A 23,511-nucleotide genomic window follows, 5' to 3' on the forward strand; every position below is an offset into this window, starting at 1 on the left:
TCTTCAACACCTGGCTAATGCCTACTTCTCCTCCAGAACTCAACTCTGTATTTACAAGGCCAAGGCTTATCCCAAGGCCAAGCCTTATCCCTGAACCAGAATTCAGATTCAAGTCTTGGTTCTCAAGTTGGATCGTCTGCTATTGAATGCCAGAGTTACCACTTGCGTGACCATGGGCAAGTTAGTTACTTTACCTCTCTGGGTCTAAGATTATCATCTATAAAATATAGATAACAATAGTACTTATCTCATAGGATCCTTCAGAAGGTTAAAAAGACAACTGACTTGTACCACTTGGTATATTGTCTGGTTCTTTGTGAGCACTGAATGATTGCTAGCTCTCATTAGGAAATGGAATAATAATACTAATAGTTCTCAGGGTTGCTATGAGGCTCAAAGGAGATGTGGGGTATAAAAAGCATGATGCAGGAGTGACTCGCCTGAGCAAACAGGAACCCAGATCTCCTGGCTCCTGGTCCAGTGCTCCTTTCTGCTGTATCATAGAGCAGGGATCAGCAAAAACAGCTCACAAGCCAAATCCAGCCCACTGCTTCTTTTTAGAAATAAAGTTTTATTGGAAACACAGCCATGCCCGTTTGCTTACGTGTCATCTATTTGTGGCTTTTATGTTACTATGGCAGAGTTGAGTAGTTGTGACAAAGGCCACATGACCCAGGAAGCCAACAATGTTTACTATCTGGCATGTTGGAGAAAAAGTCTGCCAGTCCGGACCTAGAGTGTCAGCTGGCTGTCCCACTCTTCTGAAGTCTTTCCCTTTTCTTTAGTTAACACTACTTCTGGAACGCCATATGCCAAGCACTGTTTTACATATTTTATAAATATAGAGTTATTGAATCCTGGTAACAACTCCGTGAGGTGGATATTATTTTCCCCATTTTTTCAGATCAGGAAATTGAGGTTCAGAAATGTTAAAGAAATGTCAGCTGGATGTGATGGCTCACACCCATAATTCCAGCACTTTGGGAGGCCAAGGTGGGTGGATCACTTGAGGTCAGGAGTTTGAGACCATCCTGGCCAACATGGTGAAACCCCATCTCTACTAAAAATATACAAAAATTAGCCAGGTGTGGCGGCGGGCACCTGTAATCCCAGCTATTCTGGAGGCTAAGGCAGGAGAATCACCTGAACCCGGGAGGCTGAGGTTGCAGTGAGCTGAGATCGTGCTACTGAACCCCAGCCTGGATAGTAGAGTGAGACTGTGTCTCAAAAAAAAAAAAAAAAGAAAAAGAAAGAAATTGTCCAAGGTCACCTAACTGGTGACCCACATTCAAATCTAGGTACTGTGGCTCCAGAATCCCTACTTGTCCCACTGTACTCTGCATACCACCCAAGCTTGCCACAGAAACACAGGTTTGGGGTGCTGGGGATGCTTAGACAGCATTGGAGCTGACACCCTTTTTTACCAGGTGATGGCCAGGCTTCTGGGGACACTGAGGCTCATGAGGGAAAGGAACGTGTTCAAACTTTCCAGCAAGGTCTGCGTGCTCTAGGAGGTGAGAGGTTGTCCCAAAGTGACAACATTTGGGAGGCCGAGGTGGGCAGATTTCTTGAGCTCAGGAGTTTGAGACCAGCCTGGGCAACATGGTGAAACCCCGTCTCCACAAAACAAAAAACAATAAACAAAAAACAAAAATTAGCCTGGCATGGGCACGTGCCTGTAGTCCCAGCTACGCAGGGGACTGAGGCGGGAGGATCATTTCAGCTCGAGAGGTCAAAGGTGTGACGAGCCAAGATTGCATAAGTACACTCCAGCCTGAGTGACACAGTGAGACTCTGGCTGAAAAAAAAAAAAAAGAAAAGAAAAAGTAACAAGAATAAAGCAGTTTTATTAGGAAAATTTAAGAACACATAAAAGAAGAGAGAATATGAGGTTTAATGAACCCCACATACCCTTACCCGTCAGCCAGCTTCAACAGTTATCAACATTTTGGCAATGTAATTTCATCTATTACCTCCCAATTTTAGGATGGGGAGCAGAGTTTAAAAAACATATCCTAGGGCAGGCACAGTGGCTCATGCCTGTAATCCCAGCACTTTGGGAGGCCGAGGCGGGCAGATCACCTGAGGTTAGGAGTTTGAGACCAGCCTGACCAACATAGTGAAAACCCATCTCTACTAAAAATATACAAAAGTTAGACAGGTGTGGTGGTGGGCACATGTAATCCCAGCTACTCAGGAGGCTGAGGCAGGAGAATCGCTTGAACCCGAGATGCGGAGGCTGCAGTGAGCTGAGATTACGCCTCTGTACTCCACCCTGGGAGACAAGTTTTATATATATATCTGGCATCCTGTTACTTTACACATAAATACTCTAGGGTCCAAATTTCTTTTGGTGAAGGGTTTGAGAGAGAAAACCCTCAGCCTAGGTTAGCACTCTGGGGCAGAATGGGTGGCTGTGATGAGGGAGGGTGCTGCATTTTCTGCAACCATCAGGGCAGGTTTGCACACACACATCTATCTTTCCCTGGGCCCTGACTCCAGCCCCAGGCCTCCCTCCCTTATGACTAATGCCAGGGCCTGCCAGATTCAGGCAGCTCCTGGGGGAAAAAAAACACCTTGTGAAATGCTGTCTGAAACTAGGATGAGAAAAAAACACGAAACCCTATCTTGAGTGGATTTCTTATTCACCATCATCCTCCTTTTCCAAAAGCAGCCTCTTGCCTGCTGTGGGCTGCTGAGCCCTGGCCTATGTGTATTGGTGTCCGCTGAGTCACCTGTGTCATTCCTATTATCTTATTTACCCATGTTTGTTATTTTCTAGCTGCATGACTCACCCGGCCAAGAGGGTAACAGAGCCTGGAGAGATGAGTCTTTCGTTAAATGCTCTCAGCCCCTCCTTTGGAGGTGAAATCCTTTTCCTCCCAACTCTCTCATCTGAGCAACCAAAAGAAGGGTGTGGAAGGCCAGAGATGCATGGAGCCTTTCAGAAGGACCAGCCAGATGGTGCCAGGCTCAGGGCTAGGTATAGGCAGCCTCGCAGAATTCAGGAAAATGTCTGCTCTGTTTTCCAACCTGCCCAGCTGGGCCTTCCTGTTCCATTCTCCACTGTGCCCAGTCACAGCTGGGGAGAGGGTGCTCTCTATCCAGCACCCCAAGAAAGCTTCCTTCTGTTGAGGTGGACGAGGTGGGAAGCAGCAGGAAGGACCTTGCCTCTGGCCTGTGGCATACCCACACTTTGCTCACTCTCATTGTCGCTTGACAATGACAACCACCCCTATCAGTTTCTGGCCTCCTATGCCGGACACTATGCCAGCCACTATGCTTGGTTCCCTGCATACATTTCGGTTAGGAAGAGAGCCTAGGAGTCTTTTCATGTAGTTTCCAGGCCAGGACAGATAGTGGGTTCCCCACTTTACCATAGCCCCCCCACCCCTCTGCTCCCCAAAGCTTTACTTTTATTTATTTTTATTTTTTTTGAGATGGAGTCTTGCTCTGTCACCCAGGCTGCAGTGCAGTGGCATGATCTCAGCTGACTGCAACCTCTGCCTCCCGAGTTCAAGCGATTCTTCTGCCTCAGCCTCCTGAGTAGCTGGGACTACAGGTGCGTGCCACCACGTCTGCCTAATTTTTGTATTTTTAGTAGGGACAGGGTTTCACCATATGGGCCAGGCTGGAGCTTTACTCTTTACAGAGCAGCCAGACTGATTCTTATAGGCAATAGAACAGAGCATAACACTCTGCTGTTTAAAACTCTCCATGGGGGAGGCACATCCTTTGGGACATAAAAGAAAATTCATCTCACCACCATGACCTACTTGATATTCAGAGTATGGTCCACCAGCCTTGGAGGCGGGGAGGGCTGGAGGAGGAAGCAGGCTTCATTAGAAACGAGGAATCTCAGGCCCCACTCCAGCCTTGCTCAATCAGAAGTTGTGGTTTAACAAGATCCCAGGTGATCCACATTGCCTTAAAACCTAAGAAGCCCTTCCACCTCCCAGAGCCTGATGGGATGGAGCCCAACATTGACTGCTTATTTGAGTCACCTGGGTAGGTTTTGCAACTCTAACGTCCAGCTCCTGACCCTAGGGATCTTGACTCAGTTCCTCCTTGCTGCCACTTCAGAAGGCAGGTATTATGGGTTCCACCTTTACGATTGAAGTCAAATCTCAGAGAGGTTAAGTATGCTGTTCAAGGGCATCCAGCCATGCGGAAGCTGGGGCTGTTTGGATGTCTTTATCTCTGGCTTGAAGGGCAGGAGGAATTGAGAGTATGGGCTCTGGAGTCAAGCTTGCCTGGGTTTGAATTTCTGCTGCACCACCATATACAAACTGGGCCAATTATTTATCAGCTGAGCTTTATTTTCCTCATTTGTAAAATAGGGATAAAAAAAGAATCTATGCCACAGTGATGTCAAGAGGATTAAATGAAATAATATGCTTAGCATAGTGCTTGCAACATGCTAAGAGCTTAGTGTACATTAGTTGCCACTATTATACTGGTTATTGTTATTTCTTGATCCTCCTGCCTCAGCCTCCAGAATAGCAGGGCTAAAGATGTGTGTCACCATGCCTGATATATGTGTGTGTGTGTGTATATATTTGGAGATATATATATATATATATATATATATATATATATATATGTATATATGTATATATGTATTTGTAGAGACCAGGTCTCGCTATTTCACCCAGGCTCCTGTGGAACTCCTGGCCTTAAGTGATCCTCCTGCCTCAGCCTCCTGAGTTGCTGGGATTACAGGTGTGAGCCACCATGCCTGGTATCATTGTTACTATTTATTATTCCTTGCCCTCAGTTTTTGGTTCTTTTATGCAATAGAAGCCCTGAATTATCTGGCTTCCAGGATTTTTTTTTTCCTAGTGATTCCAGGTCCAATGTGCATAGTGAAAAAGACATGAGATTTAGAGTTATCTTATTTGTTGTTTGATTTAAGCAGAGCATGTGGCTTCTCAAATCCTCTCCTTCCCTTACCTGTGAAATGAAGACATGCACACCCATCTCTAGAGTTGGTGTGAATATGGAATGTGATGTCAGGTATAAGATAACCATACTGGGCCTTGATACACTGAATTGGACTGAAACTGATCCAATTAGACTGTGACTTACACTTGCACCATTGAAGCCTGTCCCTTGGAGTTTCACCCTGCATATAGCAATAACCTTGAGCAACAGAGCCCTCCGAGGGCAAGATTAGCCCCTCTTTCTTTTTCTTTCCTTTCCTTTTTTTTTTTTTTTTTGAGACAGAGTCTTGTTCTGTCACCCAGGCTGGAGTGCATTGGTGTGAACTTGGCTCACTACAACCTCCACCTCCCATGTTCAAGTGATTCTCATGCCTCAGCCTTCCTAGTAGTTGGGATAACAGGTGTGCACCACCACGCCTGGCTAATTTTTGCATTTTTAGTAGAGACAGAGTTTCACATGTTGGCCAGGCTGGTCTCAAACTCCTGGCATCAAGTGATCCCCCAGCCTTGGCCTCCCAAAAGTGCTGGGATTACAGATGTGAGCCACCTCACCCAGCCAGCTCCTCTTTCTTGGCAGGAATACAGCACTGGCCGTCTGGGCAGATCCTGCTCTTTTCTATTGTTGAAGGAACTGGGGACACAAAGGTGAAATGCAATGGGCCACCAGGCAACTGACACCTCAGCCCCAACTAAGAGGCAGTGTGATGACCGACAACATGGGGTCTGGGGCCCCACTGCCTGGACGCGCATTGATTCTCTCCCCCACCCGTAGTGTGGCTTTGGGCAAGTTATTTAATCTCTGTTCTTCATGTTTTTCGACTATAAATTGGGGATATACCACTGATATGGTTTGGATCTGTGTCCCTGCCCAAATCTCATGTTCGATTGTACTCCCCTGTGTTGGAGGTGGGACCTGGTGGGAGGTGATGGGGGCCGATTCCCCCCTCGGTGCCGCATTCGTGATAGTGAGTGAGTGCTTGTGAGATCTGGTTGCTTAAAACTAAGGGTGTAGCACTTCCCCGCTCTCTCTCTTCTGCCTGCTCTCCTTCACCTTCTGCTATGATTGAAAGTTTCCTGAAGACTCCCCAGAAGCCAAGCAGATGCCAGACTCATGCTTCCCGCACTGCCTGAGGAACTGGGAGCCAATTAAACCTCTTGTTTTTTTAAAAAAAATTAATTAGGCCGGGCGCGGAGGCTCAGCCTGTAATCCCAGCATTTTGGGAGGCTGAGGCGGGCGGATCACCTGAGGTCGGGAGTTTGAGACCAACCTGACCAACATGGAGAAAACCCACCTCTACTAAAAATACAAAAAAAAAAAAAAAAAAAAAAATTAGCCGGGCATAGTGGCTCATGCCTGTAATCCCAGCTACTTGGGAGGCTGAGGCAGGAGAATCACTTGAACCCGGGAGGCAGAGGTTGCAGTGAGCGGAGATCGCGCCATTGCACTCCAGCCTGGGCAACAAGAGTGAAACTCTGTCTCAAATAAAATAAAATAAAATAAAATAAATTATCCAGTCTCAGGCATTTCTGTATAGTAATGTGAGAACAGACTAATACAAGCACCTACCTCACAGAGTGGATACAAGAGGTGAATGTGTTCATAAGCAGAGATGTGTGGAGTTGTGCTTAACACATAGCAGGTGCCGTGTGATTGTCCTATACTTGCCCCTCTACCCCCATGAAGCTGAATTGCCTCCTTTGTGCTCCTACCTAACAGTACGTGCAATGTTCTGTTTGTTAATCTCATTTCCCCATGAGTTCATCTCTGTGTTTCTGGCGCTTAGCAGCAGAGAGCCTGACACATACTTGGTACTTCTTATTTTGCAGGAATGAGAGAACTCCAAGATCAGCTGCTGTGAGCTGGAGGCCTGCAGATTAGTTTTACAGGAATTAGATGCAAGTCAGGGAGATATGTGCCCATAGCCTGAGGATGTCTGGTCCTGGGCCTGGAATAATCCTAATCCCTTCAGAGGGAAGCTTGCGGAAACAGGAAGAGAATTACTCAACACCTCTTCAGTGCCAGGGGCTTGATAGACGCACAGCCCTCACTTAGGCTCATAACATTGGAAAAATTCATCAGAGAAAGTAAACCCTCTGACTGTCAGCCAGTCATGGAAACCCTCAGGGTTTTACTTTGCACATGAAACTTTCTGTCCATACCGCGTTAGGCAAAGAAGATTTTTAGAGTTTCCAAATCTTCAGAGTGGAGGTCTGTCAGAAAAACAAATTTTTCTCTTGCTAAAACTGACTTTGATGAATTATGATGCAAAAAATTATTATTATTATTTTTTAACCAAATTCTGAATCACAAGTCCCCTCTAAAGGAATATTTTCATGTTAATTTTTTTTTTTTAATTTTTCTTTTTTTTTTTTTTTTTTAATTATACTCTAAGTTTTAGGGTACATGTGCATATTGTGCAGGTTAGTTACATATGTATACATGTGCCATGCTGGTGCGCTGCACCCACTAATGTGTCATCTAGCATTAGATATATCTCCCAATGCTATCCCTCCCCCCTCCCCTGACCCCACCACAGTCCCCAGAGTGTGATATTCCCCTTCCTGTGTCCATGTGATCTCATTGTTCAATTCCCACCTATGAGTGAGAATATGCGGTGTTTGGTTTTTTGTTCTTGCGATAGTTTACTGAGAATGATGGTTTCTCATGTTAATTTTTAATTTAATGAATGCTCATATAGCACTCTTCTGTCAGCCACCATTCTAAGTACTTAGTGAATATTAGCTCATTCTAACCTTCATAGAAACCCTTTGACGTAGGTGGTATTATGCTTGTTTTACAGACGGGGAAACTGAGGCACAGAGAGGTTAAAGTCAATTGCCCCAGCATAGAGGCAGAAATCAACTAACTTGGCTCCAGAATTTGGGCTCAGAATGGCTAGGCTTTGCCATCCCATTTAGGTCTCACCACCTTCATTTAAGTCTTACATCAACCCTGCAAAGTAGCTTTGTTTCCATGTACTCAGGATACTGAGGCTCAGAGAGGGTCATACAGCTAGAAGTAACAGGGCTACAGTTGGAATTCACTTTTGTTGAACTGCAAAGTGACAGCAGGCTGAGCTAAGCGGTCAGCCCATGGAGGAAGGATGTTCTGCCTTTACAGGTGTAGGACCAGTGGGCACTTTCCCCAAGCTTCTGCCCATCCCCCGAAACTCAAACCCTTGAATTCTCCTTTCTTTTTTTTTTTTTTTTTTTTTTCCATTTTCTTTATCTTAGAAGAAAATGCTGAATGGCAGTACTGATATTAAAGGGCATCTTTGTCTTATCTTTTACTGAAATGGGAGTCCTACTGATGTTTTCTTCTTTTCCAAGGACATTTGTTTTTCTTTCTTTTTTCTTTTCTTTTTTTTTGTTTTCTTGGAGATAGGGTCTTGCTCTGTTGCCCAGGCTGGAGTGCAGCAGTGCGATCTTGGCTCACTGCAACCTCTTCAAGCGATTATCATATCTCAGCCTCTTGAGTAGCTGGGATTACAGGCACCTGCCACCACACCTGGCTAACTTTTATATTTTCAGTAGAAATGGGGTTTCGCCATGTTGCCCAGGCTGGTCTTGAACTCCTGGCCTCAAGTGATCTGCCCACCTCCGCCTCCCAAAGTGCTGGGATTACAGGCACAAGCCACTGCGCTTGGCATCCAAGGACATTTCTTTATTGGAGGTTCTTTGGTGTACAGGCAGAGCCCTGCATAGGCAGTGAGAAGATGGGGGGATGGCTGACTATGGCTCTGTCTCTTGCTTGCAAGAGAACTTGGACAGATTGTGTAACTGCCCTTCAATGTTAACATTTAGAGTTGAATAAGATTTAAGGTTCATTGTTTAAATTTTTTAATATAGTTTTTGTTTTTTTTTAAACAGCAGAATACTTCAACCTCCAAATACAAAATAGGTACCATACCTGTTTCTACATTAGAGGTTTCTATAACCTCTGTAGAAGTTAACTTTGGAAATCATTGGATTAAATACTATCAAATCTTTTTTAAATATTAACTCATTTATTTATTTTTTTTCCACAAGTTATTGGGGTACAGGTGGTATTTGGTTACATGAGTAAGTTCTTTAGTGGTGGAGTAAGAACATTAGTAAGTTCTTTTGTGAGATCCTGGTGCACCCATCCCCCGAGCAGTGTACACTGCACCATGTTTGTAGTGTTATATCCCTCACCCCCTCCCACACTTCCCCTCAAGTCCCCAAAGCCCATTGTGTCATTCTTATGCCTTTGCGTCCTTGTAGCTTAGCTCCCATATATCAGTGAGACCATATGATGTTTGGTTTTCCATTCTTGAGTTAGCTTCACTTAAAATAATAGTCTTCAGTCCCATCCAGGTCATTGCAAATGCTGTTAATTTATTCCTTTCTATGGCTGAGTAGTATTCCATCATATATATGTGTGTGTGTGTGTGTGTGTGTGTATATATCTCACAGTTTCTTTATCCACTCGTTGATTATTGAGGGTCATTTGGGTTGATTCCACAATTTTGCAATTGTGAATTGTGCTGCTATAAACATGCATGTGCAAGTATCTTTTGCGTATAATGACTTCCTTTCTTCTGGGTAGATACCCAGTAGTGGGATTGCTGGATCAAATGGTAGTTCTACTTTTAGTTATTTAAGAAATCTCCACTTCCATAGTGGCTGTACTAGTTTACATTCCCACCAGCTGTGTAGAAGTGTTCCCTGATTACCACATCCACGCCAACTTCTACTGTTTTTTGATTTTTTGATTATGGTCATTCTTGCAGGAGGAAGGGGGTATCGCACTATGGTTTTGATTTGCATTTCCCTGATCATTAGTGATGTTGAGAATTTTTTCATATGTTTGTTGGCCATTTGTATACTTTTTCTGAGAATTGTCTGTTCATGTCCTTAGCCCACTTTTTGATGGGATTGTTTATTTTGTTCTTGCTGATTTGTTTGAGTTCATTGCAGATTCTGGATATTAGTCGTTTGTCATATGTATAGATTGTGAAGACTTTCTCCCACCCTGTGGGTTGTTTGTTTACTCTGCTAACTGTTCCTTTTGCTGTGCAAAAGCTCTTTAGTTTAATTAGGTCCCAGCTATTTATCTTTTTTTAATTGCATTTGCTTTTAGGCTCTTGGTCATAAAATCCTTGCTTAAGCCACAGTCTAGAAGGGTTTTTCCAATGTTAGCTTCTAGAATTTTTTACTTTCAGGTCTTAGGTTTAAGTCCTTAATCCACCTTGAGTTGATTTTTGTATAAAGGTGAGAGATAAGGATACAGTTTCATTCTCCTGCACGTGGCTAGCCAATTAACCCAGCACCATTTGTTGAAAAGGGTGTCATTTCCCCACTTTGTGTTTCTGTTTGCTTTGTCAAAGATCAGTTGGCTGTAAGCATTTGGGTTTATTTCTGGGTTCTCTATTCTGTTCCATGGGTCTATGTGCCTATTTTTATACCAGTATCATGCTGTTTGGGTGACTGTAGCTTTGTAGTATAGTTTGGAATCAGGTAGTGTGATGCCTCCAGATTTGTTCTTTCTGCTTAGTCTTGCTTTGGCTATGCAGGCTCTTTTTTGGTTCCATATGAATTTTAGATTTTTTTTTTAAATTTTGTGAAGAATGATGGTGGTATTTTGATGGAGATTGCACTGAATATATAGTTTGCTTTTGGCAGTATGGTCATTTTCACAATATTGATTCTACCCATCCATGAGCATGAGATGTGTTTCCATTTGTTTGTGTTGTCTATGATTTCTTTCAGCAGAGTTTTGTAGTTTTCTTTGTAGAGGTCTTTCAACTCCTTAGTTAGGTATATTTCTAAGTGTTTTATTTTATTTTTGCAGCTATTGTAAAAGGGGTTGGGTTCTTAATTTGATTCTCCACTTGGTTGCTGTTGGTGTATAGAAGAGCTACTGATTTGTGTGTATTAATCTTGTATCTGGAAACTTTGCTGAATTCTTTTGTCAGTTCTAGGAGCTTCCCGGAGGAGTCTTTAGGGTTTTCAAGGTAAATGATAATACTATCAGCAAACAGTGACAGTTTGACTTCCTCTTTACCAATTTGGATGCCCTTTATTTTTTTCTCATCTGATTGCTCTGGCCAGGACTTCCAGTACTATGTTGAAGAGGAGTGGTGAGAGTGGGCATCCTTGTCTTGTTCCCATTCTCAGAGGGAATGCTTTCAACTTTTCCCCATTCAGCATTATGTTGGATGTAGGTTTGTCACAGATGGCTTTTATTACATAAAGGTATGTCCTTTGTATGCTGATTTTGCTAAGGGTTTTAATCATAAAGTGATGCTGGATTTTGTCGAATGCTTTTTCTGCATCTATTGAGATGATTATGTGATTTCTGTTTTTAATTCTGTTTATGTGGTGTATTACATTGATTGACTTGCATATGTTAAACCATCCCTGCATCCCTGGTATGAAACCCACTTGATCATGGTGGATTATCTTTTCGATATGTTGTTGTATTTGGTTAGCTAGTATCTTGTTAAGAATTTTAGCATTTATGTTCATCAAGGATATTGGTCTGTAGTTTTCTTTTTTTGGTTATGTCCTTTCCTGGTATTGGTATTAGAGTGATTCTGGCTTCATAGAATATATTAGAGAGGGTTCCTTCTTTCTCTATCTTGTGGAATAGTATCAAAAGGATTGGAACCAATTTTTCTTTGAATGTCTGGTAGAATTCTGCTGTGAATCTGTCTGGACCTGGAGGTTTTTTTGTTGGTAATTTTTTAGTTACCATTTCAATCTCGCTGCTTGTTATTAATCTGTTTGGGGTATCTAATTCTTCCTGATTTAAGCTAGAAGGGTTGTATTTCTCCAGGAATTTATCCATCTCTTCTAGGTTTTCTAGTTTATGTGCATAAAGATGTTCACAGTAGCCTTGAATGATCTTTTGTATTTCATTGATGTCAGTTGGAATATCTCCTGTTTCATTTCTTAGTGAGGTTATTTGAATTTTCTCTCTTTTCTTGGTTAATCTTGTTAACGGTCTATCAATTTTATTTGTCTTTTCAAAGATCCAGCTTTTTGTTTCATTTATCTTTTGTATTTTTTTTTTTTTTTTGGTTTCAATTACATTTTTTTCTGCTCTGATCTTGGTTATTTTCTGTCTTCTGCTGGGTTTGGGTTTGGTTTGGTTCTTGTTTCTCTAGTTCCTTGAGGTGTGACCTTAGAATGTCAGTTTGTGCTCTTTCAGTCTTTTTGATGTAGGCGTTTAGGGCTATGAACTTTCCTCTTAGCACCGCCTTGGCTGTATCCCAGAGGTTTTTGTAGGTTGTGTCATTATTGTCGTTAAGTTTGAAGAAATTTTTAATTTTCCTCTTGATTTCATTTGTGACCCAGTGCTCATTCAGGAGCAGATTATTTAATTTCCATGTATTTGCCTGGTTTTGAAGGTTCCTTTTGGAGTTGATTTCCAGTTTTATTCCACTGTAGTCTGAGAGAGTGGTTTATACAATTTCGATTTTCTTAAATTTATTGAGGCTTGTTTTATGGGCTATCATATGGTCTATTTTGAAGAAAGAGCAAATCTTTTATGATTAGGAGAAGCCAAAAGGACCAGTAATATTATCCTAGGGGTCCTGTAACAAATTACCATAAATTAGTTGGCTGGAAACAACAGAAATTTATACTCTCGTAATTCTGGAGGCCAGAAGTTTGAAATCAAAGTATGGCCAGGGCTGTGCTCATTCTGAAGGCTCTAAGGAAGAATCCTGCCTTGCCTCTTCTGAGGCTTCTGGTGACTCTGGCGATCCTTGACACTCCTTGTATTGTAGCTCCATCGCTTCAATGTCTGCCTCCATCTTCATACATCTTCTCCTCTGTGTGGCTATGTATGGCTTCTTCTCTTCTGTTTCTTACAAGGACACTTGTCATTGGAATTAGGGTCCACCTGGATGAGCCAGGATGTTCTCATTTTGAGATCCTTAACTTAATGACATGTGCAAAGACCCTTTTTCTAAATAAAGTCATTGTGTTAGTCTGTTCTTGCATTGCTATAAAGAAATATCTGAGACTGGGTAACTTATGAAGAAAAGAGGTTTAATTGGCTCATGGTTCTGCAGGCTGCACAGGCAACCTAGTGGCCTCTGCTCCTGGGGAGGCCTCAGGAAGCCTCCAATCATGGCAGATGGCAAAGGGGGAGCAGGCACATTATATGGAGTGGACAGGTGCACGAGAGGTGTCAGGGGGCAGGGGAGGTGCTACACATTTTTAAATGACCAGATCTTGTGAGAACTCACTATCACGAAGACAGCACCAAGCCATGAGGGTTCTACCCTTATGGTCCGAACACCTCCCACCAGGCCCCACCTCCAGCACTGGAGATTACAAATGCAACATGAGATTTTGTGGGGACAAATATCCAAACTCTATCAGTCATATAGCAGAATCTTTCTTGTGAGCCATTAAAAGAAAAATGTACCAGTAAGAAATATTCTCAATAGTCACGGTTCCAGGGATTGGGATGTACCTTTTTAGGGCCACCACTCAACCCACTATAATCAGTAATAACTTAAACTTTTAAACATCTATTCTGTCTTGCACTCTGCTAAGCACATCAGGTATACAGAGATAAGACAGAGACACTACCTCTGACTGGTTTCCCTTCCTTTGCCTTCCCTTCCCTTCCCTTCCCTTCCCTTCCCTTCCCTTCCCTTCCCTTCCTCTCCCTTCCCTTCCTTCTAAAGATGAGTTTATTAAATTAAAATTTACATACAGTAGCATTTGTCCTGTTTACATATATAGCTGTGGAAACCAGTTTAGAGAGAGAAAACAACTTTTTCAAGCATGTACAGAGAAGAAATAGCAGACGTCAGGATTTGAACCCATGTTCTCTATTGCCAGAGCCTGTATACTAAACCACAGTCTACACAGCCTCCACTCTTCTTCTGGGAGTCTCTGGCTCCTCATCTGTCAAATGAGGAAGCTGACAAGATGCTTTCTAGAAGCTCTGAGAGTGCTGTTGTGAGAGACTCCCATGGTGAAAGGCAGGGGAGCACTTATTCAAAGAAATCCTTCAGTGTGAAGAGAGTCTTTTTGAAATGGAAATTTTTGCGCCTCCTGTAAGTATTCAGCCTATTTGTGATATATTGCAGGTCTATGTGCCTGGTTAAGTAGATTTGCAGCTCATGATATCTCATTTCAATTGAGCTAATTCTTACAAAATGGACAAGTGATTTAAATGATTCCATGAAGAAATTGCAAGCTGTAGATAATATTAATGATGTGAGGCTAAGGAAACAGCAGGAGAATGGCTGACTTGATACCCCTGCAGCTCCCAGTGCTTGCTGTTTTTCAGCTAATTACAGGGTAAAATTAATGGCAGTCTAATGACATCAATCACAAAATTGGTCAGAAGACAAAAATTATTAAGAAGACTATTTGAAATATGGCCTTTCATATTCATTATCATTCATGATGATGCTCTCCTGAGTGAATATTGTGTCTTGATAAAGCTAAGGAGAATTGCCATTGCAATTGACCAGCATTAAAAAACCTAAGGTTTTTCAACTGTTCAAAGTCATGAGACACTCACTCCAGCTCTTTACACATTTGGATTAAATTTGATAATTTTCAATTTATTACTTAACAGTGAAAGTGAATAGCCATATTCCATTGGCCAAACATTATTGCTCTTGACAGTCACTTATCCTTGTGACTCTTGACAGTCACTTATCTTTGAAAAGATAAGTGAAAATGGTTGAAGAAATACCTAACAACTACATTCCTTAGTCATTAAATACTGTTGGAAGATGCATCAAACTTGTTGTCAAAGAGCTGAAGAAACAAATATTAAAACAAATAGTTTAGTGTGAGAGGTTTGCAATGCAGTTGCTCAAAAGTACAGATGTTTCTGACATATTTCAGCTTTTGTCATTGCTGGATTCTTCTTTTCAATAATGGAATACATTGGAGGGCCCTTTCTTGTGAGCCATTAAAGAAAAAATGTACCAGAAAGAAATATTCTCAATAGTCAGTTAGTTTCTTAACAAAAGCAATGTTTTTGGTATTTGTGTTGACTGGGATGAAAAAACTAGGTAAGTTTCCTGAGCTAGCACCTCATGTGAAATTTATTTACTGCATTGTCCACATCAAGCTATTTAAGCAAGTAAGTTAAAGTCACAAGAGAATAGAGCACAATAGGATGTCACTGATGTGGACCAATATATAGAGGCAAGATGTTTAAAATATAGCAGAATCTTAACAATACTTTATAATTAGATAGGAAATAAACCTGAAATATTTTGTGCATGCAGAGATTCCCTCATTCTATTTTGGCAAAGTATTTGAAACAGTAAGTGAACATAAAATATGGGTTCCAAATTATTTGATCTTTTCAAGGATAAGTGACTGTGAAGAATAAGGTATAGCAGGTACATTTGAAAAAACATAAACCTACATTTAAATTACCCTATCAGGGTAAATGTCATGAGTTAGTAATGAGTGAAATTGTAACTGATTTTCAGAAGAAACTTGTAAACCACAGTGAGATGCCATTGTGTATGCACCAAAATGGCTAAAATGAAAAAGATAATACCAAGAGCTGACAAGAATGTGGAACAATTAGAAATCCCACAGTGGTGGAAGTGTCAATTCATAAAACCTGTTCAGGCAACTGTTTGGCAGTATTTAGGAAGGCAGAACATAAGAAAACCCAATGACCCAGCAATTTAATTCTAGGTATACACCAACAGAAAGCATACAAATGTTCATCAAAAGACACCAAACTGTTCATAGCAGCACCATTCCTCATACTCTAACACTGGAAATGACCCAAGTGCCCATCAAAGGTAAAATAGATAAACTTTTTGTTGTGTATTCACACAAGAGAATACTCCATGAATGAGTGATCCACAACAATACTTGGTGATAGGGACACATCTCACAAATGAGATTTTGAGAAAAAGGAGCCACACAAACAAAAGGTTTTGTCTGGTGTGATTCCACTTACGTGAGGTTAAAAAGAAAACTCAGGCAAAATTAATCTGAAAGTTAGGATAGTGGTTGTCCTTGGGTGGAAAAGAACTGGCAAGGGCATAGAGAGAGGCTCCTAGGGGTGCAGACAATGTTTTGTGTCTTAATCTGTTTCCTAAACAAGGCATGTTCACGTTGATCTGTCCACTTACATGTACACTTTTCTGTGTGCGTATTCTTGAATAAAAAGAAAAAAAGTCACTTGTTCTGTGAAGACACGGTTTGCGCAGTGATGATTTGAAGCAGTCTCTGTGTTAACATTGTTAAACATAATGTGTATAAGCCACATCTCTATTTCTGAAGAGATTGAAATAGAATAATCTAGCCTGTTTTAAATTTCCAAATGAAATGTTTCAGTGCATATTGAAGTATTTTTAAAACTTTTCAATAAGTTGTGAGAAAAATGGATTGTCACCAAGAAAGTTGGAAATTTACTAGCCAAATTTCACCAAGACCTTTGCCTAACTGGTAGATGGAATTAAAAAATAAAAAAATAAGTGTTATGACTGAATAGGTCAACAATGCTGTATTTCTTTCATTTGGATCTATGTATCTTTTTGAGACATCTTTTCCAGCTATGACAGCCATTAAAAGCAGGTATCAGAACAAATCAAATTTAGGACCAAACCATCAATTACTATGTCATGAAGATCAAACCAAGATTGAAAAAAAAAGGAATGCATGTTCAAAATCACATTGTGCTCGCTGAAATAATTTTTATTCTTTGAAATTTTTTATAGGAAAGCAAAAAAGTTGGTTAGGTGTTACTAAATAAAATAAATATTAAAATTATTTAATTAATCTCGACTTCAATGTTTAAAACTTACTATTATGTAATTGTATGACATATATTAGAATAATAGAGTAATAGTATCTGTACATAAATTAAAAATACACAGGCATATATTGGAGGTGCATGCTTGAAATTTTGTTATTGATATAGGGCCAGATTATAAATAGCTCAGAGAGCACTGGCCTATTCTCTTTCCTTAGGGTAACAAATTCTCTTTCCTTCAGTAACAGGTCGATGTGAGTTAGGAGCCAGGGAGATGAAGATTTGAATCCTATTTCTGCTGATTACTAGATGTCTGATTTTGAACACTTAGTCAGTGGATCTGGATCTGGGTTTTTCATTAGTAGAATGAGAATTTAGCACCTCTCTGGAAAGGTTTGATAAGATACTTCAATGAGTCAATAGATGTAAATGTCTCAGTACCTTGACTAGCCTCTGGAAGTTCAATCAATGGTCACTGCAACAGTCACGTTGTTGTTTCCTGGTGTTTTCTAAACTTACCTCATAATAACCATCTCCTGGGTGCTTGTTGAAAATGTGTGGGCCTCACTTCAGATTTTCTTCGTGGGGATTTGTAACTTGTATCTTTGGACGGTCTCCAGTGATTCTTACTATCAAGTGAGTTTGAGAAAGACTGATTTAGAAGGTGTTGAAGCCATCTTTCCTCTAATGATTGTTCTCTGGGACCAGTCTTCTCTCCTATGTGCCATGAACTCCCATAGGACCATCTCTATCCCTGACAGTCTAGCAGGGAGCTCTATAAGCCACTGAAGAGCAATGGGTGGTGACAGCCAAGGTGAAAGCTCCACAATTAGGATGATGAGCAAAAGCTGGTCCCAGTGGGCAGAGCACAGCAACCAGGAGATGAGGAGAGGCACCAGGCTGAGATCATGGTGTGAGAGGGGTACATGAAGAAGGAGGAGAAACTTCCCCCTTGGGCCTGGGGCTCAGTAGCCTGCTTGATCGTCACACAGCTAGGATCAGAAGTAGGATTAGATCCCTGGGGGAGCTGGATGAGGGCCATTGGAGGCAACGCATGGTGCCCAGGCACACTGTCAGGCTCTGTGTCGTTGAGACCTAGGTTCAAGTGGGAGCCAACCAGAACTGACACATAAAATCAGATAAGTCCAGGAGTAGGATAGACTTGTGCTTTGTTGTTTGATCCTGATGAAGATTCTTCCGTTCCATTCCCATTGACTTAGGACAGATTGGTTCCTGAATTGTATGAGGATCAAGCAGGCTACTGTGGGTTGACCTATGCTAGGTGCTCAATGAGCGCATGCACATTCAGCATGCAATTAGGTAATCACACTTATTCTTCTCTTGTCATTTTGTCTTCTGTGCATCTACTTTGTTCACCTAGGCCCTTGCTTTGCTTCTCCAGGGATGATGGCCTGGCTGAGCCGCACCGCGCAGGCGCTCTTCCCCAGCGCAGACGCCCTGCTCTGTCCTGACAGTCCCGCGTTGCCCTCAATCTGAAGGTATGGATAATTAAGGTAATGAACACTTTTCCACTAGCTGCTGAAAGCCTCATTAATCTACACACATGTTGCCACAGGCAAATTATGGCGTCAAGGGTGGGAGGATCAACAAAAATAACTTCAGAAATTCATTAATCAGACTTAGTCAAACACATAGTTTGGAACTGAGTGTTCTTATCCTGCGATGATCAGAGGATTCGATTTTTTTTTTTTTCCAAAGACATGAAAGGGACTTCTTAAGCAATATTTGGGAACATCTAAGTTATTGTACTGGCATTTATGACTCTAGTGGTTGATGCTAATGGAATCTGTCCAAAGACTTCAGTGTGGAGGATTCCATAAATTCTGAATATGCTACGGTGGATGATCAGGGTTTCTAAATATGGCAGAGGGAAAAAAATGGTCATGAGATCACACAGAGAAACATACCCAGTGAGGACAGAGATGACTAATGCCACCAAATATTCATTTTCTCCCCGACATGTCATAGGTGCCCTTGCAGTCAGGTTGGAGCTACAGAATTATTTGCTGATTTGCGTCCCCAGCCCTCTCCTTTTTTGTTGTTGTGGTAGCCTTGGAGGACTCTATCCCAGATGATAAAATACAAGAGCGAAATTTTTGGACTCATCCTGGTCTTTGTGTGCATGAAAAATAAAGTTGTATTACGTTAAGCCACAGAGATTTCCTGACTGATAGGTTACTGCAGCAGTCTACCCCATCCTGACGAATGCATCAGCCACTTCACTTAAGGCTGAGCACATTTTCTTTCAAATACGGTTATTAGGCTGGTTGTACCATGATAGCCTCATGATCAGAGTGTCTGATTCCAGCATGGCTTTCAAGAGGATTTTTATGAACAAGTTGGGGTATTCTCTGGACAAATTGGGGTCCTGGGTGATAGATAATAAAACATCTAAGCTACTTGAATAAGGATCTACCCTAAAAGGGAAGATTAGCAAATAAACATGAACCTTAAGAGAGGATATCGGCTGGGTGCAGTGGCTCACACCTGTAATCCCAACACTTTGGGGGGCTGAGGTGGGCAGATCACCTGAGGCTGGGAGTTTGAGACCAGCCTGACCAACATGGAAAAACCCGTCTCTACGAAAAATACAAAATTAGCCAAGTGTGGTGGTGCATGCCTGTAATCCCAGCTACTTGGGAGGCTGAGGCAGGAGAATTGCTTGAACCCGGGAGTCGGAGGTTGTGGTGAGCTGAGATCGCACCATTGCACTCCAGCCTGGGCAACAAAAGCGAAACTCCATCTGAAAAAAAAAAAAAAAAAGAAATTAAGAACACATTCTGTGTTTGGTGTCATTCAACACTTTAAATAATGGTTTTAGAGACGACAGAGACACTCTGCTTTTTAAGCTTGTCTGTGCCACAGAGAAATAACAGGCTGAGTATCTGGACTGACAGATTCAGGACACAAACTCTGGTAGGTCAGAACATGGGCCTAAAATGACAAGATAGGAGAAAAGCATCTCAGATAAATATGTGTGTATGTTGATTTGAACTGAAGATCATAGGAGAGGAGGGATGAGGTTTAAAGTATTTTGAAAATAGCTAAGTAGACCAGTATTTTTAGAGGGTAAGGTAAAAGTCAATGGGAAATAAGGCTGAAAGTGGTTTGGGGCTTGAAGGTGGAGAGCCATGAACTTCATGCCTAAGAGTTCAGGCAATGGGGAGGCATCAACAATATTTGAGAGAGGGAGTGACATGATCGATTTAATCTAATTTTTTAAAAACCCTTCTTTTCATTGCCAATGCCCACTCTCTCCTTTCCTCCTAGCTGGTTGGAGGACACCCATGAGGGGCAGGGTCCATTTGTTAAGTTTCAGGCACTAACACATTAATTGATTCATTTAACCCTTACAACCATGATAGGTAGGTTCAACTATACTCATTTTACAGATGAAAAAACTGAGGCTCAGGGATGTTATAAAATTTATCCAAAAACATTCAGCTCCTCTTGGACTGGATAACACGGCATGTGAATGGGAAACCCCAATGGTACTGCAGGTCGAGTATCCCTTATCTGAAATGCTTGGGAGTAGAAGAGCTTCTATTTGGGATTTTTTTGGAATTTTGAAGTATTTGCCTATACAAAATAAGATATCTTGGGGGTGGGACCCAAGTCTAATGTAAAACTCATTTGTGTTTCATATACACCTTATTTACATCACCTGAGGTAGGTAATTTTATACAACATTTAAATAATTTTCTGCATGAAACCAAGTTTTTATTTTATTACCCTTTGTGGGTGTGCTTGTGCTGGAAAATCTGGTTGGGTGCAAGAAAGCTACATTGCAGCTGAAGGGGGCTGGGAGGGCCTTTTTTTCCATTTGGTAAACTGAATAATCTGTGTGTTATTTGCTTGACTTTTGATGGCATTCTGTCACATAAGGTCAGGTGTGAAATTTTCCACTTGTGGCATCGTGGTGGCCCTCAAAAAGTTTTGGATTTTGGGGCATTTTGAATTTCAGATTTTCAGTTTAGGGATGCTCAACCTGTGTAAACATTGTTCTACCAGGAAGAAAGCCATATGGAGGAGAACAGATCTGGAGCCATTGTAGAGAAGGGGAACCAGAGCCTAATCAAGCCTTACTTGAAGGCTATCCTACTGCTGGTCGTATTAGTTGTGTGTGACAGTGAGCCAATTTGAGTTGTGATTTCTAGACAAGCACACCAACTGGTGCAAGCATTTGACATCTCTGAATTATTGGGTGCTTAGTCGGATTGGGCTTCCATAACAAAATACCATAGACGGGGTGGCTTAAACAACAGACATGTATTTCTCACAGTTCAGGAAGCTGGGAAGTCTAAGATCAAAGTGCCGGCCGATTTGGTTTCTTCCTTTCTTTTTTTTTTTTTTTTTTGAGGCACAGTCTTGCTCTGTCGCCCAGGCTGGAGTGCAGTGGTGTGATCTTGGCTCACTGCAGCCTCTGCCTCCCAGGTTCAAATGATCCTCCCACCTCAGCCTCACAAGTAGCTGGAATTACAGTCACGTGCTACCAGGCCCAGCTAATTTTTGTATTTTTAGTAGAGACGGGGTTTCACCATGTTGGCCAGGCTGGTCTCAAACTCCTGACCTCAAGTGATCCACCTGCCTTGGCTTCCCAAAGTGCTGGGATTACAGGTGTAAGCCACTGCGCTTGGCCTTGATTTGGTTTCTGATGAGGGCTCTCTTCTTTGTTATATCCTCACATGGCCTGTCTTCAGTGTGTATGCATGTGCGTGTGCGTGCATGTGTGTGTGTGTGTGTGTGTGTGTGTGAGAGAGAGAGAGAGAGAGAGAGAGAGAGAGACAGTTAGGGCTTCAGCATATGAATTTGAGTGTACGATTCAGTTCAGATAGTTGGTGCCATCGATTGCTCTTTCCTAGAAACGCTCTTCCTTCTTTACTTATGTGATACCACATTAACTCCTCCTCTCTTTGCTTTCTCAGTGTTTTTTTCTGAGTTCACCCTCTCTGCTCACCCCCGTAGACTCTGGTATTCCTCAAGGTTAAGGCCTGGGCTATCTTTCTGCTCATTCTACACAGTCTATTGGGTCAATTTTCCTGAGCAGCCTCATGCACTCTGATGGCTTTAAGATCAGAGAATTCCTGTGATTCCTAAATCTGTAGCTCAAGCTCACAATTCTCTACTGTGTGCCCAGCCTGCACATCTCACTGCCAACTGAATATCTCCTCCTCAAAGGCAACTCACTGAAGTCTGAACTCACGACTCCTACTCTGTGAGTGGTGCTAACATCTCAGAGAAATTCCATGTTGAAGCCTGGCTTCTGCTTCTCCTGTGTCCTACACAACTATCTCATCTGCTTCGAATCCTCCTGCTGACATCTTTGTATTCATGCTTTAAATCATCTTCTTTCCCTCTTCCCCATGGCTACTCTTGTGGTCCGGGTCCCCATCACTGATTTCTGGATTGCCACAATAGCCTCCTCTCTGATCTCTTTGCTTCCAGTCTCAATCCTTCATATTCTTTCTCCTTATTATACCCAACTCCTAAATCCTACCATATTCCTCCCTTGCTTTGCATTTCTCCAGGACTCCTCACTGCCTCAGAGGAAATCCAGGCTGCTTAGACCTGCCTGGCACTCGAGGCTTCTGCAACAGACCCATGCAACCCTCCTGCCTCTTTAGAGTCATTCTTCTTGTTCCCAAGTTGCCTTTATGCTCTGGCCATGCTGAGTCTCTGAAGTTTCCTGAAGGTACCACATCATCTCTCTTTGCATACTCAGTTCCTTCTGTTCTTCTTGTTCAGGTGCCCCTTTCTCCAGGAAGCATTCCCTGACCCATCCTGTTTGGGTTAGGCATCTCTCTCTCTCTTTTTTTTCTTTTTTGTTTGAGATGGAGTCTTGCTCCGTTGCCCAGGATGCAGTGCAGTGGTGTGGTCTTGGCTCACTGCAACCTCTGCCTCCCGGGTTAAAGCGATTCTCCTGCCTCAGCTTCCTGAGTAGCTGGGACTACAGGCACCTGCCACCACGCCCAGCTAATTTTTGTATTTTTAGTAGAGATAAGTTTTCACCATGTTGGCCAGAATGGTCTCGATCTCTTGACCTCGTGATCCACCCGCCTCAGCCTCCCAAAGGCGTCTCTTATGTGATCCCATAACACATCATATTTATTCTCCTATACCCCTTATTGTGTATTGCTGTTAATGATGACATGCCTGTCTTTTCTATGAAACTTTTAGGTCCCTGAGAGAAGGCACTAGGTCTTAGTCTTTGTAACTGCCATGCCTAACACATGGTAGATATTTACTAAATATGTGCAGAAGCCATAAAGTGTGGCACTTAAGAGTGTATGCTAGAGCCAGGCCACTTAAGTTCAAATCCCAGGTCCAATATTTATTACCTTCCTGACCTTGGACACTTTTTAACTTCTCTGTGGATCAGTTTCTTTATCTGTAAAAGTGTGGATAATAGATCACTTGTACTATGAGTCTGTGGGAATGAAATGAGTGAATATATATGAAGCTTTTAGAATCTTGCCCAGCACATAGTCAGCACCCAAGAATTGTTAGTTCTTATCACTTACCAAATAATCAAAGAATGTCACATGCAGGATGCTCATGATTTACATGCAGGTTTTATGTTTACTAATCCTGTAGGTATGTGTTAGTACCCTCACATTACTAACAAGGAAACTGAGGCTAGAAGGCCATGTTCACCCTCATCATGCAGCTGGTGAGCTTTAGAACTGGGACTCAAACCCCGCTGTGCCTGGCCCCAAGGCTCCTTTTTTTGGGATCAACTTGTTTCTAAAGTCCTCCAGGGCTCTAATAATCTCTCATTCTCAGTAATCCCCCTTGCCTACTCCAGGGATCTATTTA

General features: G+C 42.1%; 1 long non-coding RNA gene across 1 annotated transcript in view, besides 1 other annotated feature; it reads left to right on the plus strand.

The window, feature by feature from the left end:
- Positions 1-18,278, plus strand: part of LINC02964 (long intergenic non-protein coding RNA 2964) — a 160,228-nt gene extending 141,950 nt beyond the window's left edge. The window contains exon 7 of the long non-coding RNA XR_001746072.2: positions 18,077-18,278. This is a non-coding gene — a long non-coding RNA (long intergenic non-protein coding RNA 2964). The remainder of the gene's footprint in view (positions 1-18,076) is intronic.
- Positions 17,773-18,972: an enhancer, noted in NCBI's record as "CDK7 strongly-dependent group 2 enhancer chr8:126691873-126693072 (GRCh37/hg19 assembly coordinates)". NCBI's record gives its function as "activates an origin of replication core promoter dependent on BRD2, BRD4, P300/CBP, MED14 and CDK7 cofactors, with strong dependence on CDK7, by STARR-seq in HCT116 cells {active_cell/tissue: HCT116}" and the evidence as "EXISTENCE:reporter gene assay evidence [ECO:0000049][PMID:35650434]".

This window comes from Homo sapiens, chromosome 8, assembly GCF_000001405.40.
Source record: "Homo sapiens chromosome 8, GRCh38.p14 Primary Assembly".
In the NCBI taxonomy this organism is placed as follows: domain Eukaryota; kingdom Metazoa; phylum Chordata; class Mammalia; order Primates; family Hominidae; genus Homo; species Homo sapiens.